This window comes from Homo sapiens, chromosome 17 (assembly GCF_000001405.40).
Source record: "Homo sapiens chromosome 17, GRCh38.p14 Primary Assembly".
Classification (NCBI taxonomy): Eukaryota; Metazoa; Chordata; class Mammalia; order Primates; family Hominidae; genus Homo; species Homo sapiens.
In genome coordinates this window covers 17,621,316-17,630,702 of record NC_000017.11, presented here as the reverse complement: position 1 = coordinate 17,630,702, position 9,387 = coordinate 17,621,316, and the positions used below count along the sequence as shown (strand labels likewise).

The 9,387-nt window shown below is 51.0% G+C and overlaps 5 annotated features.

The window, feature by feature from the left end:
• Window positions 1,920-2,079: an enhancer, noted in NCBI's record as "active region_11802". NCBI's record gives its function as "activates an Ori minimal core promoter by ATAC-STARR-seq in GM12878 lymphoblastoid cells {active_cell/tissue: GM12878}" and the evidence as "EXISTENCE:reporter gene assay evidence [ECO:0000049][PMID:35858748]".
• Window positions 3,173-4,078: an enhancer, noted in NCBI's record as "NANOG-H3K27ac-H3K4me1 hESC enhancer chr17:17529939-17530844 (GRCh37/hg19 assembly coordinates)". NCBI's record gives its function as "activates a minimal SCP1, AML or CMV promoter by ChIP-STARR-seq in primed H9 embryonic stem cells {active_cell/tissue: H9 hESC(primed)}" and the evidence as "EXISTENCE:reporter gene assay evidence [ECO:0000049][PMID:30033119]".
• Window positions 4,079-4,984: an enhancer, noted in NCBI's record as "NANOG-H3K27ac-H3K4me1 hESC enhancer chr17:17529033-17529938 (GRCh37/hg19 assembly coordinates)". NCBI's record gives its function as "activates a minimal SCP1, AML or CMV promoter by ChIP-STARR-seq in naive and primed H9 embryonic stem cells {active_cell/tissue: H9 hESC(naive and primed)}" and the evidence as "EXISTENCE:reporter gene assay evidence [ECO:0000049][PMID:30033119]".
• Window positions 7,121-7,996: an enhancer, noted in NCBI's record as "H3K27ac-H3K4me1 hESC enhancer chr17:17526021-17526896 (GRCh37/hg19 assembly coordinates)". NCBI's record gives its function as "activates a minimal SCP1, AML or CMV promoter by ChIP-STARR-seq in primed H9 embryonic stem cells {active_cell/tissue: H9 hESC(primed)}" and the evidence as "EXISTENCE:reporter gene assay evidence [ECO:0000049][PMID:30033119]".
• Window positions 7,997-8,871: an enhancer, noted in NCBI's record as "H3K27ac-H3K4me1 hESC enhancer chr17:17525146-17526020 (GRCh37/hg19 assembly coordinates)". NCBI's record gives its function as "activates a minimal SCP1, AML or CMV promoter by ChIP-STARR-seq in primed H9 embryonic stem cells {active_cell/tissue: H9 hESC(primed)}" and the evidence as "EXISTENCE:reporter gene assay evidence [ECO:0000049][PMID:30033119]".

Genomic DNA, 9,387 nt, shown 5'->3' with positions numbered 1-9,387 from the left:
GTGTGCGCATGTAATCCCAGCTACTCGGGAGGCTGAGGCAGGAGAACTGCTTGAACCTGGGAGGTGGAGGTTGCAGTGAGCTGAGATTCACCAACTACACTCCAACCTGGGTGACAGTGAGACTGTCTCAAAAAAAAAAAAAAGGAAATGTAAGTCAAAGCCACACTAATATACCACTTTGTGCCCACTAGGATGGCTACAATAAAAGTAAAACGGAAAATGAGGAGTGTGGATGAGAATGTGGAGAAGAGGTTTTGGCTGGGCATAGTAGCTCATGCCTGTAATCCCAGCACTTTGGGAGGCCCAGGTGGGCAGATTACTTGAGCCCAGGAGTTTGAGACCAGCCTGGGCAACATGGCAAAACCCAGTCTCTACTAAAAATACAAAAATTACCTGGGCATGGTGGCTCACGCCTGTGGCCCCAGCTACTTGAGAGGCTGAGGTAGGAGAATCGCTGGAACCAGGGAAGTGAAGGTTGCAGTGAGCCGAGATTGTGCCACTGCACTCCAGCCTGGGCGACAGAATAAGACTCCATCTAAAAAAAAGAGAAAAAAAAAGAAAACAAGTAGTCAAACAAATAACCACAAATGGTATAGCAGCACTATTCACAATCGCCAAAAGATGGCGGAGCCCAAATACCTATCAACAGATGAATGGCTAAATAAAGCATGGTATAGCCACATAATGGAATATTATTCAGCCATATAAAGGAATAAAGTACTGGCACATGCTACAAAAAACATGTTAAGTAAAAAAAAAAAAAAAAAAAAACCAGGCTGTCAGGCGCGGTGGCTCACGCCTGTAATCTCAGCACTTTGGGAGGCCGAGGGGGAGTGGATCACCTGAGGTCAGGAGTTCAAGACCAGCCAGGCCAACATGGTGAAACTGCGTCTCTACTAAAAATGCAAAAATTTAGCAGGGTGTGGTGGTGCATGCCTGTAATCCCAGCTACTCTGGAGGCTGAGGCAGGAGAATCACTTGAACCCAGGAGGCAGAGGTTGCAGTGAGCCGAGATCGCGCCATTGCACTCCAGCCCGGGCAACAAGAGTGAAACTCTGTCTCAAAAAAAAAAAAAAAAAAAAAAAAAGCCAGGCACAAAAGGTCACTATGTTGTATGACTCCATTTATGTGAAATATGTGGAATAGGTAAGTCTATAGAGACAGAAAGCCAGTTGCTGGTTGCCAAGGAATTGGGGAAGAGGGGAATGCAAAGTGAAGAGATTGCTTAAGAAGGATGGGGTTTCTTTTTGGGATGATGAAGATGTTTTGGAAGAAGGTAGAGGTAATGATTGCATAACGTCGTGAATATACTAAATGCCACTAAACTATACACTTTAAAATGGTTAATCTGGCTGGGCACCGTGGCTGACACCTGTAATCCCAGCACTTTGGGAGGCTGAGGCAGGTAGATCGCTTGAGCCCAGGAGTTCCAGACCAGCTGAGACATCATAGCAAGACCCTGTCTGTACAGAAAATCAAAAAATTAGCTGGGCATGGTGGTGCAACGCCTGTAGACCCAGGTGCTCAGGAGGCTGAGGCTGGAGGATTGCTTGAGCCCAGGAGTTCGACCACTGCACTCCAGCCTGGGTGACAGAGCAAGATCCTGTCTCAAAAAAAAAAAAACAACAAAAAAAACCAGTTAATCTTATTTTATGTAAATGTCACAAACCAAACAACCAACAAAGAATTCATACCTAGCACATTCAAAGAACTCCTGCAGACCAACAAGGAACAAGCAGGAAACACAACAGAAAAATGGCAAAATATATGAGTGAGCAGGGTACAGAGGGGACCTGAGCTGGCTGGTGAGTGTGTGAGAGGATAACCAGAGACATCCAAACCAAAACTCCCACTGGGGCTTCCTTTCTTCCATCGGTCTGGGGCCACCTGGCATGGACGACAACGGCCATTGTGAATGGGGAACATGGGGAAAACAGGCATCACTGCCCGCCTCCCGCCGTGCACCATGCCGCCACCTGCCCCCGGGCAAAAGAGAAAGCGAAAGAAGCAGTAATGATGAGGTGTGGACAGTTTTACTTTGGGCTGAGGGAAATATGGCTGTTTATTATTCTTTCCATCTTTCTGCATTTTAAGATTTTTCTTTTCTTTTCTTTTTTTTTTTTTTGACGGAGTCTTGCTCTGTCGCCCAGGCTGGAGGGCAATGGCGGGATCTTGGCTCACTGCAATCTCTGCCTCCTGGGTTCAAGAGATTCTCCTGCCTCAGCGATCCTCCCGAGTAGCTGGGACTACAGGCACGTGCTACCACGCCTGGCTAATTTTTGTATTGTTTTTTTTTTTTAGTAGAGACGGGGTTTCACCATAATGGCCAGGCTGGTCTTGAACTCCTGACCTCATGATCCGCCTGCCTCTGCCTCCCAAAGTGCTGGGATTACAGGTGTGAGCCACCGCGCCCGGCCAGATTTTTTTCTTTTAAAGAAGAACAGGCCAGGCACAGTGACTCACACTTATAATCCCAGCATTTTGGGAGGCCGAGATGGGAGGATCACTTGAGGCTAAGAGTTCAAGACCAGCCTGGGCATCATAGTGAGACTCCATATCTACAAAAGATTTTTTAAAAATTAGCCAGGTGAGGCCAGGTGTGATGGCTCACAACTGTAATCCCAGCACTTTGGGAGGCTGAGGCGGGTGGATCACGAGGTCAGGAGTTCGAGACCAGCCTGGCCAATATGGTGAAACCCTGTTTCTACTAAAAGTAAAAAAATTAGCTGGGCGTGGTGGCGCACGTCTGTAGTCCCAGCTACTTGGGAGGCTGAGGCAGAAGAATCACTTGAACCTGGGAGTTGGAGGTTGCAGTGAGCCAAGATTGTGCCACTGCATTCCAGGCTGGGCGACAGAGTGAGACTCCATCTCAAAACAAACAAAAAATTAGCCAGGTGAGGCCAGGCATGGTGGCTCATGCCTGTAATCCCAGCATTTTGGGAGGCCGCAGCAGGCAGATCACCTGAGGTCAGGAGTTCGAGACCAGCCTGGCCAACATGGCGAAACCCTGTCTCTACTAAAAATACAAAAAAATTAGCCAGACGTGGTGGCGGGTGCCTGTAATCCCAGCTACTTGGGAGGCTGAGGCAGGAGAATCACTTGAACCCGGGAAGTGGAGGTTGTAGTGAGCCGGGACATCATGCCATTGCACTCCAGCCTGGGCAACAGAGCAAGATTCCGTCTCAAAAAATAATAACAATAATAATATTATAATAATTAGCCAGGTGCGGTGGTCACATCTGCAGCCCTAGCTACTTGAGAGGCTAAGGTAGGAGTATCTCTTGAGCCTATGAGTTGGAGGCTACAGTGAGCCATGATTGCACCACTGCACTCCAGCTTAGGAGACAGAACGAGACCTTGTCTCAAAAAAAAAAAAAAGAACAACAAAAGAGTCAGTTAGACTTTCTGGCTCAGGATGAGCATTTAGGGGACCGTGGAAGCGGTTAGGATTCCAGGTGTGCCTGTGTGTGCTCAGTTATTCAGTGCATTGAGTGAGGGCTCTGGCCTGGGCATGGTGCAAGAGTCAGAGCTTTCAGCATGAGAGAAGCTGACGCTGGTGAGAGCATCCCAGCCCTTGTTCCTGGACGGGGGTGGGGGTGAGAACAGGGCTTACTGCAGGGACCCAAGCCAGGATGTGCGGGGGGCGGGCTCAGCAGGGAGGAGCCTGAGGAAGGGACCCCAGGGCCCAGCAAAGACCAAGGCTGGGAGGGCAGGAACAGTGGGGACTTTTCAGAGAACAGCAACTGCCACGCCGCCGCCAGCTTCTCCGGCAATGCCCTGGGACTGTAGTGGGATTATCATTTATAACTGACAGATGAGGAGACTGAGACCCAGACTCACAGAGTTAAAGGGACAAAACCAAAGACATGCGTTACCTGGCAGCCACCGGCTGGGTGAGGTCCTCTCCCTGTCCGGACCTCAGTTTCCCCATTTGCACCACAGGGGACCTGGACTGGATTCCTGGGGTCCTTTCAACTCCAAGGCTGCCCAGCTCACCCAGCTCAATGCGTTACACCTGCGAGGGGACCACGATCTGGCTTGGGTGGGGCCTTTCCTCCCGGGAGCACAGGCAGTTGCAGGGGAACTTCCCAGCTCCCGAAGCCTCCTCGCAGCCAAATGGGAAGTTGTTTCCCATGTCTAAATACCCAGTAGATGTGTCACTCTTGAGGGTTCACCCGTACCCCAGCCCTGACTGGCAATCCCCCGAATGGGGCATCCCTGTCCAATAGGACTCCCAGCCCCCGCCCGATCCCAGGATGAGAGGCGAAACTTGAGGCAGCCCACAGCATTGCTGCCATTGATTTGGGAGAACAAAAGATCTGAGGCTCTGGCGGTGGAAATGCAGGCAGAGTGCAAGATCACCTGCAGGGCCTCTCTGCCCTGCCGGAGTGGCCTTCAAATCATCACAGCGGGTGGCTTGGCAAAGGCGGGTGAGGGAGGTGGTGCGAGGCCTACGGAAGTGCTGGGGCCTCTGTGAAGCTGGGTGCTCCAGGCTTCCTGTCCTGTCTGAGAGAACCGGGAGGATGGCTCCTCTGCCTCCTGCAGCCCTCAAATCCCTGTTTCCTCATCTGCGCCAGAAAAGCACCATGGGGTAAGCCAGAGTGAAGAGGGAGGCAGGGCAGGGGTGGCACTGCCTCCCACCATCAAAGGCCACCTGCTTGGCGGCTGGACTTCTCTGGGTGATGAAAATATGACTGTTTATTATTATATCCTTTTTTTTTTTTTGCATTTTAGATATTGTTCTTAAAAAAAAAAGGAATAAAAGAATCAGTGAGACATGGTGGCCTAGGATGGGTATTTAGAGAAGGATTTGAAACCTGATTAGGGCCAGTGCAGTGGCTCACACCTGTAATCCCAGCACTTTGGGAGGCTGAGGCAGGTGGATCACCTGAGGTCAGGAGTTTGAGACCAGCCTGGCTAACATGATGAAACCCCGTCTACTAAAAATACAAAAAATTAGCCGGATGTTGTGGCAAGTGCCTGTAATCCCAGCTACTCGGGAGGCTGAGGCAGGAGAATCACTTGAACCCGGGAAGTGGAGGTTGCACTGAGCTGAGATCATCGCGCCATTGCACTCCAGCCTGGGCAACAAGAGTGGAAACTCCATCTCAAAAAAAAAAAGAAAAAAAATGAAACTTTGTTTGGAGTGTGTATGTGTGTGTGTGTGTGTGTGAATATGTGAGTGGGTGTAAGTTTCTCCCCTCATCTCCCTAAGGATGGGCCAGGGACTCTATACATGCCCCTCTGTCCCTTCCAGCAGCCCTGAGAGGTCAGCCTTCTAGTTCCCACTTAGCAGAGGAAAAAGCAGAGGCTGAGAGAGGTAAAGTGACTTGCCCAAAGTCCTACAGTCAGCCAGCCAGTGGCACCGCTGAGATTCAAACCCAGGTCCGGGGCTCTTGAGACCTGCTCCGTGGAGCTGCTGGAGAGAGGTCCTGTTTGCACAATCCCAGAGGGAGTCGTGCCCACTGCCGATGCCTGGTGTGTAGTGCACTGCCCCTGGGGACCAAGGTGGCAGCCCTAGAAGGCCTGTCCACTGGCCCCAAGGCCAAATAAAGTAGGGTGGTCTGCCTGGCCTAAGAGGAGCCAGGCCTTTCCCATGTGCATGACAGGGGAGGCGGCAGTGAGGGGAGGGTGGTGGCCTTAATCCTGGAGAGACCTCCCAGTGCCTGGAATATGTGAAGACAGCACGACATGGGTGGCCGTCTTGCGGCGAACCAGCTGCGTGTACCTTGTTGCTGACATTTCCCTTGCCAAGCTTTTCTTCTCATAAAGAAAACACAGGATGTGTAGTGACTCTGGCCGCTGTGTTTAAATGCCAGAGTTCACTTGACCTTCAGAGGCCACGAAAGCTGACATATTTCTCACAAACTTCCCTATCTCTTCTCAAGGGAGCTCCTTTACTTAGAAACACAGCAACTTCATGATGACCCTGACTGCCCGGCACCAGGCACCACTGCACAGATTGTATACTGCCTGACTTCAGGGAAGATGTCAGTCATGTCCAAGTCTGTATAAATATACTCCTTTTGGGTTGTGCAGTGTCCAACCTGTGCAACTGTGCATTTTGGCCCTGTGGCCCTAGAAACATTTCCACTAATTAGGCAGGTGAATGGGTTCCTTAAAGTTTTTTGTTTTGTCTTTTTTTTTTTTTTTTTTGGAGATGGAGTCTTGCTCTGCCACCCAGGCTGGAGTGCCGTGGCATGATCTCGGCTCACTGCAACCTCTGCCTCCAGGTTCAAGTGATTCATTCAGCTTCCCAAGTAGCTGGGACTATAGGCGCATGCCACCACACCTGGCTAATTTTTGTATTTTTAGTAGAGATGGGGGTTTCATCATGTTGGCCAGGCTGGTCTCGAACTCCTGACCTCAGGTGATCCCCCCGACCTCGGCCTCCCAAAGTGCTGGGATTATAGGCGGCGTGAGCCACCGCATCCGGCCTGGTTCCTTAAAGTTTTGAGTGAGCTGGTGTGCTCATCTTCTTGCTGATATACATCCTACTGAGCAGAAGAAATTGACCTGTTGTTCCCACCAAAAGAACCTGGAGGTGTATGACCCATGGCCCACCATCCTTGATGAGCACTGTGCCTGTCACTTGCCCCACCACCCACTCCGATGCTCACATTCCAGTGGGTGCAGGCTTGGCTTGTGCTAAAAGTTTGTGCAGCAGCACCTCCCCCGTACTCTCAATTCTTGAGTGGACTTTTGACTGATCCCCTGCCATGGCGCTGCCCCGCTCACAGTCTCCACCACCTCACATTGGCACCCCCATTGTCCCACTTGCTCAGGCCTGAAACCCGAGTCCTCCCCACTCCTTGCAATCCCTCATCCCCCCCTGGCCCAGTCGCTGCAAATCCTGGGGGCGATGCCTCCATGATCCCTCCAGATCGCCTCTTCTCACCATCCCGCTCCTACGGCCTAGCCCCCCAGCACGTCCCACCTAATGGTGCCTTAACCATGCCCAACTACGGGCCCTTCTCTACGAGAGGCTTTAAGAAATTAAATCAGGCCAAGCACAGTGGCTCATGCCTGTAATCCCAACACTTTGGGAGGCCCAGGCGGCCAGATGGCCTGAGGTCAGGAATTTGAGACCAGCCTGCTCAACATGGTGAAACCCTGTCTCTACTAAAAATACAAAAATTAGCCGGGTGTGGTGTCAAGTGTCTATAATCCCAGCTACTCCAGAGGTTGAGGCAGGAGGATCACTTGAACGTGAGAGGCGGAGGTTGCAGTGAGCAAGATCTCACCACTGCACTCCAGCCTGGGCGACAGAGTGAGACTGTGTCTCAAAAAAAAAAAAAAAAAAAAAAGGCTGGGCGCTGTGGCTCATGCCTGTAATCCCAGCACTTTGGGAAGCCGATGAGGGTGAATCACCTGAGGTCAGGAGTTCGAAAGTGAAACCCCGTCTCTACTAAAAATACAAAAATTAGCTGGGTGTCATGGCACACACCTGTAATCCCTGCTACTCGGGAGGCTGAGGCAGGAGAATCACTTGAACCCAGGAGGCAGAGGTTGCAGTGAGCCAAGATAGTGCCATTGCACTTCAGCCTGGGCGACAGAGTAAGACTCTGTCTCAAATAAATAAATAAATAAATAAAAAGGGAATAAATTAAATCAAAATAAGCCAGACACAAAAGGCCACAGATTGGATGATTTCATTTGCATGAAATGTCCAGGCCAGGCACAGTGGCTCATGCCTGTAATCCCAGCACTTTGGGAAGCTGAGGCGGGTGGATTGCTTGGGCACAGGAGCTCGAGACTAGCCTGGGCAACATGGCAAAGCCCTACTCTATCAAAAATACAAAAAAAATTAGCTGGGCATGGTGTCCTACACCTGTGGTCCCAGCTCCACCAGGAGGCATCTCTTGAGCCCAGGAGGTTAAGGCTGCAGTCAGCCTTGATTGTGGCACTGCACACCAGCCTGGGTGACAGAGCAAAACCCTGTCTCAAAAAAAAAAAAAAAAGTGGCCAGGCATGGTGGCTCACGCTTGTAATCCCAACACTTTGGGGGACCGAGGCAGGCGGATCACTTAAGGCCAAGAGTTCGAGACCAACCTGGCCAACATGGTGAAACCCCGTCTCTACTAAAAATACAAAAGTTAGCCAGATGTGGTAACAGGCACCTGTAATCCCAGCTACTTGGGAGGCTGAGGCATGAGAATCGCTTGAACCCAGGAGGCAGAGGTTGCAGTGAGCCGAGATCACGCCGCTGCACTCCAGCCTGGTTGACAGAGCAAGACTCTGTCTCAAACAAACAAACAAAAAAAGAAACAACAAAGAAATGTCAGAAACAGACAAATTCACGGATGCAATGCAGGGGGAGGGGAAGTGGCCAGTGACTGCTTAATGTGTCTGGGGTTTCCTTTGGGGGTGGTTCTGGAGCTAGATAGAGGTGGCAGTTGCACGACATTGTGAAGGTACTCAATGACACTGAATGGTGCACTTTTAAGTGGTTACAATGGCAAATTTCATGTTATGTGTATTTTACCCCAATAAAAACAAGCAAAATTAAATCACACCATGTCTGATAAAAACCCTCACTGACTCCTCAAAGACCCTAACAATAAACCCACCTTCCTGGGCACGGCCCATTGACGCCAGCACCATCCAGCCCTGGTGGGCTTGGTCCTCATCTCCCTTCATTTGTCCTCTGTCCTTTGAATACTCCCCCACCATGCCCTGTCCCTCCTCTGCAGCTTTGCACTGGCTGTCCCTTCCCACAGACCCTCTGGGGCTGCCTCTCCCTCCCCCAGTATCCTCCCCGTCCACACCTCCCTCCTGCGCCGCTTCCCATCCATCTGCTCGATGTAATTCAGAGCACCTGACTCTACTTGAAATGATTGTGTTTATTAACTTTATTTGCCAATCATCTTTTTTGGGCTGGAAGGTGAGTCTAGGAGAGGAAGGGGCTTGGTTCACCGTCTCTGCAGCTGAGTCCCGGGTGCCTGGAACCCAGGGGGCCTTTCCCTGCTGACCAACTCGAACCCACCCAGGCTGCTGCAACCCACGCAGCTTTCCGGCTGGCTCAGAACGCTTGGCCACCCCCAGTTCCCCCATAGATCTACCGAGGATTGACACCTGAGCATGGTGGCTCCCCAGAACCAGGGCTCTCCAGATCCTTTCTCCTGTCCAAAGCAGTTCCATCCAGCAGTCTTGATTTCTGCCTCACGGCTGCCACCTCCTCTTCTTCTTCTCCTCCTCCTCCTCCTTGTTCTTCCCCTTCCCCTTCCCCTTCCCCTTCTCCTCCTCCTCCCCCTTCTTCTTCTCCTTCCTTCCTTCCTCTTCTTCCTTCTTCTTCCTCTTTCTTCTTCCTCCTTCTTCTTCCTCCTTCTTCTTTCTTCCTTTTTTTTTTTTTGAAACGGAGTCTCACTCTGTCACCCAGCCTAGAGT